The following is a 19,976-nucleotide window of genomic DNA, read 5'->3' on the forward strand; positions in this document are numbered from 1 at the left end:
CGTCACTTTTGGGGGCTGGGTTTCCTGAGAAATGGGGTCTTTCACTTATTAATAACCTCCTAAGTAACTTACTGGGAAACATGAGTATTATGGTACCCATCTCATATTAGTTGTAAGCACTACATGATAAAGTTTGTAAAGCACCTGGCACAGTCCTGGCACCCCTCTCTCCAAGTATTAATGCAGTGAATACGATGGCAGTTCTTTGACTTCTAAATGTTTTTACCTGTCTTACGTGAAACATCCTCTTATACTAAAAAACTTTTTTATTTTGAAATAATTTTAAAATTACAGAAAAGTTTCAAAAGTAATACAGAGTTCCCTATTGCCTCCATTAATAATTTTTTACATACCATAGCGCAATTATCAAAAGCAAGAAGTTAATATTAGTATAATACTATTAACTGAATTACTAACTTGTGATTTTTTTTCCTGTATTAATGTCCTTTTTCTATTCTAGGATCCACTCTAAGACCCGACATTGCAGTTAGTTGTCTTGGGTCCTTGGTCTCCTCCAGTCTGTGACAGTTCCTCTGTCTTTTCCTGTCTTTACACTGATAGTCTTTTTCTGTCTTTATACTCTTTCTGATCTTTACACTTTTGAAGAATGCTGGTCAGTTATTTTGTAGAGTGCCCCTCAAATGGGGTTTGTCCAGTGTTCTCTCATGATTAGATTAAGGTTATACATTTTTGTTAAGAACACAAAAGTGTGTGTGCCCTTCTCAGTTCATCATATGAGCATAGCTGATATATATGACTTATTGCTCGTGAGGTTAATCTTGATCACTTGGTAGAGAGTGTCTGCTGGGATTCTCCAATGTAAAGGTCTTATTTTTCTCCTTATAATTGACATCTTGGGGGGGAGCTTTTAAACCGTACGCATATCCTGTTTCTCCTCAGACTTTCCCTTGCTAAATTTCACATCCATTGGTGGATCTTGCCTTCAGCAATTATTATGACTATGGTGTTCTAATGATGATTTTCTACTTTCCTCATTTCTTTATTAATTGAAATTATTCTGTAAGGATGAGCTGCCCATTTCCCATTTGTTTATTTGTATTCCGTTATTTATTTGTATCCATGTGGACTTAGATGTTTTTCTATTGGTTGTTATCCTACACTTGTGTTATTTTATGTTTGAAATTGTTCCAGCTTTGATCATTGGGAGTTTTCTTTCAGGTTGCTTTCTGTAGCTTTTCAGCATGCTTCCATCCTTTTTTTTCTTTTTTGGAACTTCCTAATTTTCTGGTACCATAGGATGCCCCAGGCTCATCTTGTGTTTTCTGTGCCTCAGCCCTGATAGTCAGCCACTTCTCCAACGACCCGTAGTTTCTTTTTTTGGAGAATAGTATTTAAACACAAAGATCTGTGCTCTAGGGATGCTCATTGCTACTGGGGTAACATTGCTTCCAGGGCCCCACAGAAGACACCAGTCTATACATATGCATACCCATGCATACACAAAGATCTATGTTTATTTCTGTATTTGTCTATCCATATACTTTTTAAAAACAAAAGTTCATCCCAGTAGCTTTGCTTCTAGTCTAACACCACAGGGTTCATTCTAGTTTTGTCCCTTATTTTTAACTTTTTATCTGACAGTGAGAAATCTGACTCTTGGCATTCTACAAAATATTTTCTTATTTCTTCAGTCCTAGTATACACATAAAGTAATTTCAGGATTTCTGACCTATGTTCCTGTGAGAAACACATTTACTAAATAGAGTACAGTGTAGTTCTTTTTGTCTCTAGGCTTATAGTATTCAGTTAAAATATTGTTTTCTAAAGTGGCTTAGATAATTTTTCTTCCTCACTTCTTTCAGTGTGGTTATGCTATTCGTTTATAATACAGTTTATGTTTTTATAGTTTATATTCCATTTTGGAGGGAAAGAGTCTAAAGGTAGACTAATTGAAGCTCCATTATCATGGCTATGCATATTGTGCTATTTGACTAGAGTGATAGGATTAGCAATTGTATAGAAGGGACGTGTGAAGAAATATTTTAGTTCAGGCAGCATCTATTGAACAACAGGTGTGTTCAAAAAACATTTTGATAGGAATGATGGTAGATATAAAGATAATCTCTTTGTGGTATAGAAGAAAAGAAAAGAGGCAGTGTGATAGATTGGGAAATGTTAATGTTAGACAAATAATTGATACATTTAACATGTAATAGCCTTTTATGAGTTAATAAGAGAAAGACATCCCCTGTAGTAAAAACAGATGCATATGACATGAACAGGCAATTCATGAAAGAAGAAATGCAATGAGTACAAAAAAATAGTGATAGAGGATGAATAAAATATAGTACTTGATAGCCGAACAGGGTGACTATAATAATTCAATTGTATATTTAAAAATAACTAAAAGAGTATAACTGGATTGTTTGCAACACAAAGAATAAATGCTTGAGGTGATGGATACCTCATTTACCCTAATGTGATTATTACACATTGTATGCCTGTATCAAAATAACTCAAATATCCCATAAATATATACCTACTACTAATATATACCCACAAAAATTAAAAATTAAAAAAAGAAGAAATGCAGCTGGGCATGGTGCCTCACACTTGTAATCCTAGCACTTTGGGAGGCCGAGGCAGGTGGATCACCTGAGGTCGGGAGTTCGAGACCAGCCTGGCCAACATGGTGAAACCCCGTCTCTACTAAAAATACAAAAATTAGCTGGGCGTGGTGGCACGTGCCTGTAATCCCAGCTACTTGGGAGGCTGAGGCAGGAGAGTCACTTGAACCTAAGGGGCGGAGGTTGCAGTGAGCTGAGATCGCACCACTTCACTCCAGCCTGGGCAAAAGAGTGAGACTCCGTCTCAAAACAAAAAAAAAGAAAAAAAAAAAAGAAATGCAAATGGCTGATAAATCCACCCTGTTAGTAATTTAAGGAATGCAAAGTAAAGCAATAATGAGACATCATTTTTTTCACCAATGACATGTCTAAGAATGATAATACTAAGTATATTGCTTGGAATATGGATAAATGGACATTGTGTTATGTTTCTGGTAGGAACATAATAGGCATAACCTTTTGTGGGATATGGCTATATATATGTTTTAAAAACCTTGAAAAATCTGTCTACCTAATAATTCTATTTCTAGATATTTATTTTTTATTTTTATGTTACTTTTTTCAATTAATACACAATAATTTTACATATTTATAGGATACATGTGATGTTTTGATACATACATACAATGTGTAATGATCAAATCAGGGTATTTGGGATATATATCATGTCAAACATTTATTATTTCTTTGTGTTAGGAGCACTTCAGATCTTCTAGCTATTTTGAAATATGCAATAAATTATTGTTAACTATAGCTACCTCACTGTGTTATTAAACATGAATAATGTATTCCTTCTATCTAACTGTATGTTTGTACCCATTAATCAACTTCTCTTCACCCCTCCTGCCCCTTCCCATCACTCTACTCTCTACCTCCAGGAGATCAACTTTTTTCCCCCTTTTTATTTAGAAATGGAGGTCTCATTATATTGCCCAGGCTGGCTTCTAATTTCTGGGCTCAAGTGATCCTCCTACCTCGGCTTCCTGAGTAGCTGGGAGTACAGGCTAGATGTTCCATCCATGTTGTTGTAAATGACAGGATTTCATTCTTTTTTTTTTTTTTCTCCCTAGACGGAGTCTCGCTCTGTTGCCCAAGCTGGAGTGCAGTGGTGAGATCTGGGTTCACCGCAACCTCCGCCTCCTGGGTTCAAGCGATTCTCCTGCCTCAGCCTCCGGAGCAGCTGGGAATACAGGTGCATGCCACCACGCCTGGCTAATTTTTTGTATTTTTTAGTAGAGACGGGGTTTCACCATGTTAGCCAGGATGGTCTCGATCTCCTGACCTGATCGGCCCGCCTCCACCTCCCAAAGTGCTGGGATTATAGGCATGAGCCATCGCGCCTGACCCATTCTTTTTTTTAATGGCTGAACGGTATTTCATTGTGTATATACACCACATTTTCTTTATCCAGTCATCCATTGACAGACACTTAGGTTGATTCCATATCTTGGCTATTGTGAATGCTGCTGCAATAAACATGGGGCTGTAGGTATCTCTTTGATATACTGATTTTTTTTCCTTTGGATAAATACCCAGTAGTGGGATTGCTGGATCATATGGTAGTTTTATTTTTAATTTTTTGAGAAGCCTCTGTACAGTTTTTCTTTCTTTTTTTGAGACAGGATCTCACTGTGTTGCCTAGGCTGTAGTGTAGTAGTAAGAACACTGTTTCTTGCAGGCTCACACTTTAGGGCTCAAGGGATCTTCCCACCTTGGTGTCACTGGGACTACAGGCACCCACCACCACACCCAGCTAATTTTTAAATTTTTCAGAGAAGAAGGATCTTGCTATGTTGCCCAGGCTGCCCTCAAACTCTTGGCCTCAAGTGATCCTCCTGCTTCAGCCTTCCAAAGTGCTGGAATTACAGCTATGAGCCAGCGTACCCAGCCCATACTGTTTTTCATAATGGCTGTACTAATTTACATTCCCACCAACAGTGTATAAGAGTCCTCTTTCTCGCCAGGCGTCGTGGCTCACGCCTGTAATCCCGGCACTTTGGGAGGCCGAGGCAGGTGGATCACCTGAGGTCAGGAGTTCGAGACCAGCTTGGCCAACATGGCAAAATCCCGTCTCTACTAAAAACAAAAAATTAGCTGGGCGTGGTGGCATGTGCCTGTAATCCCAGCTACTCAGGAGGCTGAGGCAGGAGAACTGCTTGAACCCGGGAGGCAGAGGTTGCAGTAAGCTGAGCTCGTGCCACTGCACTCCAGCCTGGGTGACAAGAGCGAAAATCTATCTAAAAAGAAAAAAAAAAAAAGAGGCCTCTTTTGCTACATCCTCACCAGCATTTGTTATTTTTTATCCGTTTGGTGATAGCTATTGTAACTGGGGTGAGATGGTATCTCATTGTGGTTTTTATTTGCATTTCCCTGATGATTAATGATGTTGAGCATTAAAAAAAATACCTTTTGGTCATTTGTATGTCTTCTTTTGAGAAATGTCTATTCAGATTCTTTGCCCACTTTTTAATGGAACTATTTGTTTCTTTGCTGTTGAGTTGTTTGAGTTTCTCATACATTCTAGATATTAGTCCCTTGTTGGATGACTAGTTGGCAAATATTTTCTCCCTTTATACAGGTTGTGTCTTTGTTGATTGTTTTAAAGAAATAATTATAGGCAGCAGTATGGATTTATGTGTAAGCAGGGTAATTACACTGTAGTTTATAATAGTGGAAAATTAGAAACAACCTAAATAGCCAATAATAGCCAATTTGTAAAATTGTGAAGCATCTACGTAATTATAGAAAATTATTTACATGGAAACATTTTTATTATACTTCATCACACTATTCAAAATAAATGTTTTATTTTCTTTGTTCTTTCATCCACCCATTTATTCTATCCGTTAACAGTTTATTCTATTCATTGCTCCTTGCTATTCCACTCCTTTGGGTTTATTTTCTTTATTGTTGAAATATTCCTTTAAGTACTTTTAATGAGGGGCTTGGTAATAAACTCTCTTAGTCCTTGTATGTCTGAAAATGATTATTTTGCTTTCATTTTAAATGATAATTTACCTGGGAATATACCAACTCTCTCAGCACTTTGAAGGTATTTCTGTCTTTTAATATCTTGCTTTTAAAAGCAATATATTATTGCTTTGTCAGTCTTTTATGTCTCATTTTTTTAATGATTCTTGTTCTTTAATGTTTTGCAATTTCCCTTCCATGTATTTAGGCAAATTTGGTTTCTTTTTAATGTATGCTACTTGAGGCTGATGTGCTTTTTCAGTTTGAGGTCTTACATTTTAATTATCAGTATATTCTCTTTGAATAATTCCTTCTTACTGTTTTCTTTGTTCTTTCTTTCTGGGACTTCTACTTGTTATTAAGCTTCTGATTTTATCCTTTATGTCTTTTATCTTCTTTTTTATACTTTTCATCTTTTTATTCCTCTGTGTTCTGAGTGATTTCTTCCAATCAATAATTGTTTCTTATCTATATAATTTACTGTTTAACACATCTTTTGAGATTTTCATTTCTAGAAGTTTTACTTGTTTTATATTCAGGCTGGCCTCTTACTGTTTCATAATATCTATTTTTTTAAAAGATTCTGTTCCTTTTTGGAATAGAATGTTTTTGGATATTTAAAAATATACTTACTTTAGTTTCTTTTTAAAATTATTTTATTATCTTTCGTCCATTAGGTATGAATTTTCCTGTTTTGTTGGGTCTGTGGATGGTCTCTTTTGGTAATGAATTTCTCCATATGTCCCCAGTTTCCATTCACTGTTGCACCTGTTTTACCCTCTTTGTTTTTGTACCTGGAGATTTTCCTTTTTGACTTTTGAGCCTTGTATCAAACATAAAAACCAAGTTACTAATGGGTAGGTATTGGAGGCAGTCTATATAACCAACACATCAAGATTTTCAACTGTGAAAGAAAGGGGATAAATATTTAATGTTTTGGGGATGATAGATCTCTGAGAATCCCTTGAAACAATGGACTCTATTCTCCAAAATAAACTATATTCACTTTTTTTTTCTTTTTTTTTTTTTGTAGAGATGGGATTTTGGCATGTTGCCCAGGCTGGCCATGAACTCCTGGGCTCAAGTGGTCCTCCCGCCTTGGCCTCCCAAAGTGCTGGTATTACAGACATGAGCCACCGTACCCGGCCCCTTCATTCACAATTTTTCATAAAGATTCAGTGGCTCCACAAAGTCTGTATGTGAATTCCTATCTTTATAGACCCTGGACTAAGACAGCATAACTCAGCAGTATTAACATACTCAACTTAAAATTTTTTAAACATGGGTGAGGTTGTGGCTAATGAAATGGCATGAAAGCATGGTGTACAATGGTGGCTTTCAAGCTTGGTTAAGCTGTGAAGCCCATTATTTATATAAGCTCTGATAAGCTCCAATTCATAAAATAGTTGTAAGTAAAGTTTCTACAACTGAAGTAGGGAGTGGAGTCCTGGAACCTACTCACCTCTAGCCCCTACGCTTGTACTCTGGCCCCAAATGCATACCCTTGGACTTTCTGGAACACTAGTAGGAAACTACTGGTGAAGTGGAAAAAGTATTTCAATGTAATTTCAGAAAATCTGGGTTCTTATTCCAGCTCTGTCACTGGTTTTTTGAATCAGTTGTAGGCAATACTAATCACTTTATTGAAAATGGAAGAGGCAGTTTAAAGCACATCAATGAGAAAAGTTGCATATTATGTTATCATATATTTGAAGTTGTGTAATTACAAAGTTACATTATGATGACATTAGACATGAAGTTTGATACAAGCATCAGTGTTAAGCCATTTGATACCTTTTTTAAAAAGGTTATTCAATGTCCAAGATAGATCAGAAAATGAAAACTTGGACAGTATACTCCTAGCTTTTTTAAAAGTATTTATATACATACATACCTACTTACATAGAAAAAGACCTGGAGAGACGTATGCCAAAATGTAAAGAGTACATTTTGTACTCTTTGTAAAAGGTGAGGAGATGACTGCTGACTTTATTTAATTCTTCATTTATTTATATTGTCTGAACATTCTAAAATATAATTTTTGTAAAGAGAAAAAGATTTAAAAATCAGTGGTTTCATAAAGAAAAAAACAAGTCACTCAAGGTCAGCATTAGAAATATTCTATTTATTGATTTAGAATAAATTGTAAAACTAATCGTTGGCTTTTAAAAATAGTGGAAACAGATTTGAAAACATTCTTAAAGAAATATTTTTCTTTTAGGTTTTTCTATATGAGTGGAGAAGACAGCTGTTACCAGGGAGGTCATACAACATTTTTTTAGGATGTCTGAAGATGAAGAAAAAGTGAAATTACGCCGTCTTGAACCAGCTATCCAGAAATTCATTAAGATAGTAATCCCAACAGACCTGGAAAGGTTAAGAAAGCACCAGATAAATATTGAGAAGGTGAGCTGTTTCATTTACTACCACAAGAAATAGTTACATAGTTTGATTTATATTGGTTGTTCATTTCAGCTAAATTTAGAATATTAGATAAGAGGCATTGCTGAAACACCTAGCTCCTATTGATTTAGCAACATTATGCATTTTTTAGCTGGTTTTTCTGTTCTGCATATATACCTCTCATATATTCCTTTTTCTGGGAAGGGATATAGGAATAGAGTCTATGCTTTTTTGTTTGTTTGTTTGTTTGAGAGACAAGGTCTTGCTCTGTTGCCCAGGCTGGAGTGCAGTGGCATGATCATAGCCTACTGCAACCTCAAACTTCTGGGCTCAAGCTATCTACACACCACTATCCGTGGCTAACTTATTTTTATTTTTTTGGAGAAACAAGTTCTTGCTTTGTTGCCCAGGCTGGTCTTGAACTCCTGGCCTCAAGCTGTCCTCCTGTTTTGCCTTCCAAAGTGTTGGGATTACAGGTGTGAGCCGTGGCGCCTGGCCAAGTCTATACCTTTTTAATTGTACATATTGAGGTTTTAGGCAGTTAATAATTAAGATACAAATTGATTGATGGTGCACTATAATGTAAAGGCAGAGAACTTTGGCTAATGTACCTGCCTTAATTTCATTCACCCCATGGCAAGTTTTTGAACTTTGAGTGTGTGTCTTTCAGTAACTCGTATTCTCTTTAGGTATACATACATTAAAGAAGTAAATCATTGTGAGATATGAGGGAATTTCCTTACTTCACAGCTTCCCTTTGAGGAAAGCTCACAATTGAGAAGTACTGCCTAATTCAGTTGAGGAAATAGGTAAGGAGAAGATGAATTAGTCTCAGGGACTATGATAGAGGTTGCATAGAACCTACCATGCTCCGGTGAAGTGGCTGTGGCATTTTTGGAAACATCAAGTTTACTCAGTACTGAGCATTAATTTGGCAGATTATGTTGTCTTATTTGCTGTGGGACAGGCCAGTGATATTTTTTGTTTCAAAAAGACTTTTCCCAGCATAAGTCTTAAGCTGCAGAACCTCCATTTATTTATTTATTTATTTATTTATTTATTTATTTATTTATTCATTCATTCATTCATTCATTCATTCATTCATTCTTTTGAAGGTTGGGAGTGGAGGATATGGTCATTAAGCCTTTCAATATAAACATTATTCATTACTCAACTCAGTAGCATATAGAAGTCAGAAAAGTGTACCTTTTTCTTCCATAGATACCATCTGTCTTTCTAGAATTCAAGTCCTTTTAAAAGTGGAGAAAATCAGTTCTGAGAATATTAAAATGAAAAGTTTAATGCGAATATTTGAAGTCTTTCTAGAATTTAGGATTAGTATTTTGTCATCCTTGAATTTCTTCTTTACTTACAAGCAATAAGTAATACTGTGACTTTTAAGGATGGATAAGGAGTTGTTTAGTAAATGGGTTCTTTTTAACATGAATGGAAGCAAATTAAGGCCATTTCTTTCCTTTGTTGTCCTACTTTTCCTTTGAGGTTTGGCATGTCTGTCTTAGATTTCCTTTTTCTTATGTTTATTCTATACAAAAATGCCTGCTGTCAGTACCCTCAGATCCTTGCTACATGTACCACCCAATCAGTCATCAATGGAAAAGCCAGGTGGGTGGGGATAGAATGGTTATATTACTGATTTTATTAGTTGTGCCAGAAGTCACAAGAAGATTATTCCAGAGTTACATCCATCCATCTCTGCCAGACATTTTTTTCTTTAGCATTTTATGAAATTTTTACTTACTGTGGAATTTTTAGACAGTATCAGAATAATTATAATGTAGGTGATATCATCTTAAGCCAAACAGTTAATTTTATACTGATCTAGGTTTTATTCCATATCCTTGATCATTCCACTGTCTCTAGGATGTCTAGCTTAATTATAAAAGTGACTTTTTTTTATCTATATAGGATTGAATAGCTTATTTTAATAGATATGTTATGGAAATGTAAAAACATTTAAAAGCTGCAGGGCTCACTCTGGACAAAAGAGTTAAGAACTAAGTTTGGACTCCAGGTGTCTGACAGTGCCTCACTTTCAAAAAGGCATATTATTCTTAGGGGAAAGGTGTAGAAAGATAAAATATTTATTATGCTGGACATCAGTCATCCAATATGAATTTAAAAGAAGAAAGTCAGACTGAAGGGAAATTGAAGGTAAGCCTTAGTGGAGTGATTCTGCAACATCTGAAAACAATGAGCATAGTGTGCTGTGGACACCTGGAGCTGTATTCCATAGGTCCTTCATTTTATTATACATGATAAACTTGATTAGAATGTAATCCTGAAATTTGAAGTGTTAGCATTCAGCTTTCTTGGCTAATGTAAGATAGACTTAAGCATTGTTAGTAGGAATGACAAGATAGTAAGCTTGGAACATAATTTTCTTTGTTTCGTATTGTAGGGATTTGGGGAAAAACTTACTGTGTAGCACATACTGTATTAGTTATATGGATAAGGTACAAGAGGCAGAAAACTCAAAAATCATATGTTAAATAAGATAGAGGTTTTTGTTTTGTTTTGCTTTTGTTTTTAATCTCATAGTAACAGAGGTAGTCTGGGGTACAGTGGCTGCTCAGCAATCATCAAAGACCCAGGCTGTTTTTATCTTGCTCTCCCATCCTCAACTTGGTTCTACCTTGTGTGTAAAATGGCTACTCCAGCACCAGCCATCACATCCACATTCCAGCTTGGATGGAATAACCAGAATCATACCTTTTCTATGTTCTTTTTTCTCTCAGTGCATTTGTTGTCTCTCTCTCTTTTTAAAATAGAGACAGAGTCTCACTCTGTTGCCCAGGCTGGAGTGCAGTGGTGCAATCATAGCTCACTGTAATGTTAAACTCCTAAGTTAAAGCAATCCTCCTGTCTCAGCTTCCTGAATAGCTAAGACTTCAGGTGTCCTCTACCATGTTCAGCTAATTTTTAAATATTTTTGTAGAGACGGGGTCTCACTATGCTGCCCAGGCCTATCTCATCTCAAAGCCCTGGCCTCAAGTGATCCTCCTGTGTTGGCCTCTCAAAGTGCTAGGATTACGGATGTGAACAACCATGTCTGGCCTCTCCTTTTCTTTTAAAGAGAATTCTGTTTTCATTTCGTGGATGCTGTATCATAACATCTTTCTATAGTTTTTTTTTTTTTGTAAGTTTTCTTCTGCTTCTTTGTCCTGTTTTTCCCAAGTCCCTTTTTTCTTTCTTCTCTCTCTCTCTTTCTTCTGTTTCAGCATATAGTATTATAGGCTTTTCTTGGCTGGCTTTTGATATTTAAGAGTGCTGATTGGAAAGTATGTGTGTAAATGTGTTTGTGTGTATGCATGTGGGTAGCAGGTTAGGGTGGGGGCTTTGCTGTCTGGAGGGGTGAATAGCTGAGAATCTATTTTAATTGGAGAACCACTAGATGTCAGTAACTCTAGGTCTTGTTAGCTGTTCAGTTTTAAGAAAGAGCAGTCCTCCATCTCCTACCTGTTGGGGTGTGTTTATTTTTTCAAAGGCGATAGTTGTGGCAGGGGTTGGGTGAGGAGCTTGGAGGGGTGGATATAGTATGAATTTTGTGACCAGCCTTTTAAGCCAGGGGAAGGAAAGTAGGTGAAGAGGTGAACAGGCTCACCACCATTCAGATATTTATTGTCCAGGCTTAATCTTCCTGGTTGTGGTGTGGTAACTGATCCCTGCCCTTAGCTGTGCTTGGTATCCAGTGTCCTTAGCTTCTCTAGCCTCTCCAGAGGCTGTCTTCTATAGTATTGTCTTGTGCAGTGATGGAACAGGGCAGTTACTCGGGCAAGTATAGAGGGGATCTGGTGGACTACCCGTTCATTACATAAACTTTCAACCAATCCTTTTGCTTTTTGCCCCACCATGCACTTCCATCTGGTTACCTGGTAGCTGGTACCTTCAGTTGCTTAGTCGTTTTTTAGAGACGAGGTCTCACCATGCTGCCCAGGCCCATCCCATCTCAAAGCGCTGGCCTCAAGTGATCCTCCTGCATTGGCCTCTCAAAGTGCTAGGATTACAGACATGAACAACCATGCTTGGCTGTGGCTTGCTTCTCATTGCCACTCTTCCCTACCATGTACCCCTTTTGCAGGCTTACATTTTAGCTTTCTTTGGTTTGCTGAGTCAGTTACAACATATCCATACTCTTTCTAGCTTCCAAAGTGTTGCAAAATGTTAAATTTTTTTGTCAGTTGATGTCTTCTATTCTCATTCTTGTGAATTTATACTTTCTAAAGTTCTTTGTTGTCATTTAGTGGGATTTTGGAAAAGAGTAGAGATGAATATTTGTGTTGAATCTGCCAGGTTTAATGAGAAGGGAGATTATTTATTATAGGAAATAAATGTTAGCTTTTCGTAAATATTTATTGATGTTTGCTATTTCTTAGATTGTTAGCATTGAGGAATATGTAAAAGATAGATTTTTAATTCTCAAGAAGTTTGCAGTCCAGTTAAGGAAATAAGATAGGAAATAGTCAAAAAATGATAAGAGGCAGCATATAATTACTATGAAAATGGATGGCATGGGCTATTCAAGCAACATGAAATCTGAACTATATAGTATAAAATCAGACATAATCAGTCTTATTTATTGTTAATCTGTGATTACAATGAAAGTATTTTTCATTTCTCTTTTTAGTGTGTGAATATCTGCTTTGATCTTTTAATCACCTTTCCCAACCTCGTTCCTTTTTTCTGACAGAACCCCATTCAGTTTCCTTCCTTTGTGTTTCAAGATAGGCAAGCCTCAGCACAGGTGGTGAATGATAATGGTCTGATAAATGTGGTAATTCCAATCTTGTCAGTGTTTGGTTACCAGTGAACAATAGACATATCCTGTAGTTCTGGCCAGTTATACCTGAGGGAAAACCTGTTTGGGGTGTGGAAACTGGAAAGATTTTCCTACTGTTATGAAGATATACAGATATGCGTGGAAGGAAACAGTCCTCTTCTTCTTCTTGGTCTTGTGTGTCTTCCTGTTGTATCTAGAACTGTAACCAATCCTCTTGCAGCTATTAGGGGACAAAATCTGAGGACAAAAGCTCCTTATTGAAAGTAGTAAAGCAGCAACATAGAACTTGGACACTTAATGACCTTGTAAGCTTCTGAATTAAACTAATGTAGAATTATTCTACTTCTAGATTGCTTTGTATGTGAGATAATAAATACTTATTATTAAAGCCATTTTTAACTTTGGGTTTTCTGTTGTTTGCAACCCAAAGCATAGTAATTGGCTAAATTATGGCACTACTTCAAACTACCTCTCTAGTGCCACCATGCAAAGAGACAGTACCAAAATGATACTTTGTAAAAGTAGTGCTGTTTAGCAATGCTTGTCAGGGATCTCAACTTAACTAAATTTGTAAGGAGTTACTTGTAATTTTTTTCACACATATCACTAAATCATTTTAAGTTTTTTCTCCTCCTCAAATATTTGGATTGATAACTTTTAATAGTGTATCCTAATTTAGTTATAAAATCATGTAAACAGTAGGAATCTGAATTATTCCTTATTTTTCTTGTAATTTGTTGTAATAAGAAATAAGTTCATCTAGTTCATCCTCCACTTGAAATAGGAATCTCTTCTAGTTTTCTTGACAGGTGAGAAAATAATAACAGTGGAGGTAGTAGTTGTTTTCATTTGCTGAGTGCTGTGTTAGGTGTTTTTATATATCATAGCATTTAATCCTTATAGCATCATTATAGGTTAGTTATTGTTACTGCCTTCGCTTTTTAGGTGGAGAAAGATTTAGAGTAAATTACTTGCTTGAGATCCCTATGTTAGTAAATGTGTTAAACTTCTAACATGCTTGAAATGTAGTGTGCTTCTGAAAAAAAGTGTGTTGAATGAATGAATATACATGTATAGAGCCTAAGATTACATCATTTTAGAAGCCACTCTATACTGACAGCTTTTTAAATTGACTTTGTAATCAATTAAATGAATTCCATAAGACTTTTTTTTATATGAATTACATGTATTGAATCAGATCACACCTATTTCTTATACTGGTGCAATTGCTCTTTTTAATTTAAATGCTGGACTTTACAGTTATCATTGTTATATTTGTTATTATATGGAATTGTGACCTTTCATCTATGTTAATCCTTCTAATTTATGTTATGTGCAAATTTGATAATTATGCATTCTTTGTTTTGAAGTCATTGATGAAAATGTTGGACAGGAAAGGGCCAGAGCACACTGGTATACTGTCACCATTTCCACACGCTCTCCCAAACCATCTCACTAATTATCTAGTATGGAATTTTCCCCAGGATTCACATTAAGATTTACAGCCTGCAGTGTTTTAAATATACTTTCTTTTGTGAAAATTGGGTCAATATTTGCAAGTCTTTAGGAACCTTACCAATTCTTTGCAGTTCTTCATAGATAAGCAGAGATATTTCTGTGATCACATTTGCAAGGTCTTTTGGTTCTCTCGAGTGTAATTTCCCTGGGCCTGTTGACTTGAACTCATCTGAAGTATCTAGGTTTGTTCTTAATCTTCCTTTGTTTTTATTTTCCTCTTAATCATTTTATTTTAGATTTTTGTATTTTGAAGATCATTTTCCTCAGTAAAGAAGGAAGGTGGAAAAAATATGGAGTTGAATAGTTTTGCTTTCTCTTTTACATCCATTGACAATATCCACCCTATCATTTGTCACCTTTCAGACACTGTTTATTGCATAGCTCAGTTACTTCCTACTCAGCACGTCCTGATGATACCATCCCCAGTCAGATATAAACACACCACCCTTACACAGTACTGGGCCACAGACCTTAAGGTTCATAGATTTAACATTAACATGTTTGTTGTTTTTGTTTTGCCTTTCAGATTATTTATCTCCTGGTCATCAAAGATTTCCTTTTTTTATTTACCCAAAGGGGACAGGAGTCAGTCTGTGTATTGGAAGATGTGACCATATTTGGTGAGAGTGGAGGGGTAGAAAATATTTTGCAAATGAGGGATGTTTACTGCCTTCCTGACTGTAGACTGAAGGAGGCAAGGACTTTGACATTTTCCCCAACGCCTATCTGTATTTCCAATGCCTGTCACATAGTACGTGCTCAATGGATATTGATTGAACTAACTAAAATTGTCCTTATCTACTGTCAAACTATAACAACCTAGAAGGGTATATTCTTGCTGAACGAGAACATCAAGAAGACAGGAAGGAAGCTGAAGATATCTCTGTCAAGTCATCCTCTGTGTCTGTCATGTGTCCCACATGTGTAGTCCTAAATGCCACTGTCTCACAGTTGGCCTCTTATCAGGACCTAAGCCCTGTGGAGACAGCAACTTGCAGAGCCCCATTCCAGGGGCAGCAAGGGGTGGGCAAGATGGAATCACTCAGCTTAAGGAAGGTCTTCCCCATCTATGCTTTTGAAGAAGGGAGAAGTGGGACTATCATTCACTAGTCTAATCTTACTGCTAAAATTAGACTGAGTGCTCCATCTCCAAACCTGGAGGGCCATGGTGTGGTGTGTGTCACACAAGCCAAAAGTTGTTCTTCCCAAGGTCTGGGCAGTGGAAGCAGTATAAACACTGATGAATAAACTCATCTGAATTTTAAAAAGATGAAGAAAATTGTTCCTGTCCCCTGGTGGAACTTTTCAAGTGACATTGACAAATAAACCTCTCAAAACCTGTAGAACCAATTTTTTTTTTACAACACTTTTTTATTCCCTTTTCTATGTCCTCCTTTTCCTCCTCCTTCATCTTCTATTTCTTTTCTCTCTTTCCTTTCCTCTCTTTTTTTTCTTCCAACTTTTATTTTAGGTTCAGGGAGTATATGGGCAGGAATATCACATGGGTAAATTGTGTGTTGCTGGGGTTTGATGTACAAATGATTTCACCAGGTAGTGAGCGTAGTACTTGAACATTCACATTTTAATAATTCATGGGAAAGCTGCAAATGTCTATGATATTAGACAGTTGTAATAGTAAAATTATAATCTTCCTCATAAGATTATTGTGAAGATTAAGATATTATATGAAAAAAACCTGCATGCAAGGTTGATACTTGGAAGTGGAGAATATAGCAAGTAAGTTAGGTTACCCAGGCATTCAGCATAGGCACTGTGAATGGAAAAATCAACACACAACATGTTTTCTCTTATACTCTCACTCAACAACAACAGTCACCAACACAGAAGACTTCTGTGACCAAATGTGTGTGAGTTTCTCCCCATATTTCAAGCAAGCAATCAGTTCAACAGACCCTAGCTTAGGTATCTTCTAGTTGAATTCAATTCTGGTGCTGTCTACCTAGAGATAGCCTCAGAAACCACAGTTTGAGAGTCAAGTCCCACAAGACCACACCCTTCCCTCCCACCAGTCACAAGTCCAGGCCCTTGGAACTTCTAAACAACCAGCTTCAAGTTGGAGTTCCCACGATCCCTTTTTGGGCTTGATTAATTTGCTGGGATGGCTCACAGAACTCAGGGAGACAATTTACCAGTTCTTTATAAAGGATATTACAAGGGATACAGCTGAAGAGATGCATAAGGTGAGGTATGAGGGAATGGGTGCAGAGCTTCCATGTCCTCCCTGGAGACACCACCCTTCAGGAACCTCCATGTGATCATCTCTCTGGAAGCTCTCTAAATTCTGTCCTCTTGTACCTCTTATGGAGACTTTATTGGATAGGCATGATGGAAGCATAGACAACCATGTCAAAATGTGATTGGACAAAAAGGGTATGATCTAATACTAACAGACTGAGTGGAGAAACCCAACAAGGCCTGTCTGTTCAGATTCTTATTGGCCTCTCCATGTAACATTTCTTCCTCCAGGGTATGGGGCAGGACCCCCTCTGGAATGAGTGTCTTATGACCCACAATCAGTTTAGAGTCCCGCCATTGGCAGGTTCGGAGGGCAGGAGGTCAGAGAGAGATTCTGTTTCCTGAGGTCTACTTTGGACACTGAAAGTGCCCCAGCATTGTAACAAAAGACATGTGTCTGTCATGTGTCCCACGTGGGCCATGGGAGTTATGATCAAGGAACTGTGGACAAAGACCAATGTATATATATTATATATATGTAATATTTATATAATCATAATATCACGGACACCATCAGTTAATAGTTTCTAATGCATTAGATTCAGAACATTCCTGAGATATATTCTTTGTGTTGTTGGTTTTGTATTTTTGATATTTGGTAAGCATAGTGAGTTGAGTTACTCTTACCTACCCTATGGGGTAGATATTATTTATCTTCATGATACAAGTAATTCTCAGTTTATGGCCTGCAATCATTGGGCCACCTTTTAATATTATGTAGCTTTCTGTAGATTCTTTGATATTTTCTATGTAGACAATCATGTAATCTGTGAAGACAATTTTATTTTTTTCTAGCCTTTGCCCCACCCACCCTCTCTCCCTTCTTTCATCCTTCCTTCCTTTTTTAACCTTATTGCCCTGGCTAGGGCCTCCAGTATGAAGTTGAGTAAGAATGGTGAGATCAGACATCCTTACCTTCTTCCCAATATTAGAGAATGGTCTTTCACCACTTAAGTATGGTGTTAAATGTAGGGTTTTTGTAGATTCCTGCTGTCAGGTTGAGGAAGTTAACTTCTATTTTTTAGTTTGCTGAGAGTTTTTATAATGAATAAATGTTCAGTTTTTGTCAAATGATTATCTTTAAATCTACCGTCTTGCTATTTTTGTCTATTTGTCCATCTGTTCTCTTTTCCCTCTTTCTTTTGGATTAATCAAATATTTTTTATGATTCAATTTTTTTCCTTTTGCTGGCTTACTATAGCTCTTGGTTTTTTATTTTTTATTTTTTTAGTGGTTGCTTTATGGTTCAGAGTATACATCTTTAACATCACAGTCTATTTTCAAGTAATGTTATATATTTCACTTCACATATAAGAACCTTCTAACAGTATACTTCTAGGTCCTCTCTTAGGGTCTTTTTGCTGTGGTTGCTATACATTTTACTTCTGCATACATTATCAGCCCCATTTGTTTTTGTTATTTTTGCTTTAAATTGTGTTATTTTTCAAAGAGATTGTAAAAATAAGGAAAAATATTTATATTTACATATGTATCCGTATGTGCCATTTTCAGTGCTCTTCGTTCATTTGTGTAGAATCCGGTTTCTGTCAGGTATCCCCTTTCTATCAACTTGAAGTACTTTTTAAACATTCCTTCTAGCACACCTTTCTGCTGGTGATGGATTCTATCAGCTTTTTAATGTTTAAAAATATCTTTATTTTGCCTTATTTAAAAAACAACTTTCTCTGGGGATAGAATTCTAGGTTGCATTTTCTGTCATTTTCGAATACTTCCAAGATGTTGTCCCACTGTCTTCTGGCTTGGATTGTTTCTCACAAGAAGTCTTCTGTCATTCTTATCTTTGTTTCTTCGTATTTCATGTGTCTTTTTTCTTCCCGTTTTTAAGATGTTTTTCTTTATTTATTTTAAGTAATTTTACTGTAATGTGCATTAGTATAGCTTTCTTCATTTTTCTTGTCCTTTGAGCTTCTTGGATCTATGGTTTTCTCATTTTTCTCAAATGTAGAAAATCTTTGGCGTTAAGTTTTTCAAATTATTTTTCTCTCATGGAGTCCAGTTACATGTATTTTATGTTGTTTTCATTTGGCCCATGACTATTGATCTTGGTTAATTTATTTTCAACTTATTTTTCTCTGTGTGTTTCATTTTGGATAGTTTCTATTGCTGTGTCCTTAGGTTTACTAATCTTTTCTTCTGCATTGTCTTATCTGCTATTAATCCCATCTAGTGCATTTTTTAATTTCAGGTACTCTTTTTTTAAATTCTATTAATTTAATATTTTAAAATATCTTATATGGCTTTTCTTCTAATGTGCTTATATTTTCTTCTACCTTCTTAAATACATGGAACATATCATAATAACTGTTTTTAATATCCTCATTTATTAATTCCATTATCCCTATCATATCTGGGTCTATTTCTGTTGATTGGTTTTTCTCATTGCAGATCATGTTATTCTGCTTTTTTGCATGCATGGCAATTATCTTTTGGATACCAGACATTGTGAAATTTACTTTATTGGGTACTGAATATTTTTTAATTTATTTAAATATTTTTTAGCTTTATTCTGAAACACAGTTTCGTTGGGAACAGTTTGATCCTTTTGAGTCTTTCTTTTTTTTTTTTGACAGAGTCTTGCTCTGTTGCCCAGGCTGGAGTGCAGTGACATAATCTGGGCTCACTGCAAGCTCTGCCTCCTAGGTTCCTGCCATTCTCCTGCCTCAGCCTCCTGAGTAGCTGGGACTACAGGTGCCTGTCACCACACCCGGCTAATTTTTTTGTATTTTTAGTAGAGACGGGGTTTCACCATATTAGCCAGGATGGTCTTGATATCCTGACCTTGTGATCCGCCCGCTTCAGCCTCCCAAAGTGCTGGGATTACAGGCGTGAGCCACTGCGCCCAGCCTTGAGTCTTTCTTTTAACCTTTCTTGCTTAGGACCAGAACAGCCTTTAGTTCAGGGCTAATTTTTTCCTACAGAGAGCAATACTTTGGAGTATTCTACCTGATACTCAGTGTATTCCAAGGTTTTTCCACTCTGACTTGTGGTCACATGTACCATTTCTAGCCTTGGGTGATCTTCAGGAATTATTCTACCTGTTCTTTTTCTGACCACGGGTTGTTCCCTCACATGCATGTGTGGAGGAGTCCTTTGTTGAAGACTCAAAAGGAAAACCCTGCAGATCTCTGGAGTTCTCTCTCAGTGTATTCCTCTCCTCTCAGTGCAACTAGCCCTTCACCATGCAGCCTTCTCCTCTCTGGTATTCTCTGATCCATGAATTCTGATAGCCTTGGCATCTACACATTCTCAACTCTGTTTCCTTAGTGTTAATTTTTCTTAAAATATCGCAACAGGTTAGTAGTGGGCAATTAATTTAAAAGTGGTTTATTTTCAAACATGAATCTCTGGCTTCCTTTCTCAAACTTTTATTACTGTTATAACACTGCCTAAAAGAGCTTTCACACTGGATCTGATGGCATCAA

At 36.5% G+C, this 19,976-nt stretch overlaps 1 protein-coding gene across 6 annotated transcripts in view, besides 1 other annotated feature; it reads left to right on the forward strand.

The window, feature by feature from the left end:
- The window catches only part of STX17 (syntaxin 17), a 67,881-nt gene that overhangs the window by 745 nt on the left and 47,160 nt on the right, over nt 1–19,976 (forward strand). For 4 of the 6 annotated variants that reach the window (XM_047423551.1, XM_011518821.4, NM_017919.3 and 1 more), the window contains exon 2: nt 7,780–7,964. In XM_047423551.1, coding sequence (XP_047279507.1) covers nt 7,842–7,964 — 123 coding nt within the window. In that variant the 5' untranslated portion in view covers nt 7,780–7,841. Of the gene's footprint in view, nt 1–4,757; nt 6,754–7,779; nt 7,965–14,807; nt 14,898–19,976 lie in introns of those variants that run through there. The other 2 variants (XM_011518820.4, XM_047423552.1) reach the window with 2 other exon arrangements.
- Nucleotides 9,102–9,712: an enhancer, noted in NCBI's record as "NANOG hESC enhancer chr9:102678782-102679392 (GRCh37/hg19 assembly coordinates)". NCBI's record gives its function as "activates a minimal SCP1, AML or CMV promoter by ChIP-STARR-seq in naive H9 embryonic stem cells {active_cell/tissue: H9 hESC(naive)}" and the evidence as "EXISTENCE:reporter gene assay evidence [ECO:0000049][PMID:30033119]".

Source organism: Homo sapiens, chromosome 9 (genome assembly GCF_000001405.40).
Source record: "Homo sapiens chromosome 9, GRCh38.p14 Primary Assembly".
NCBI lineage: Eukaryota > Metazoa > Chordata > Mammalia > Primates > Hominidae > Homo > Homo sapiens.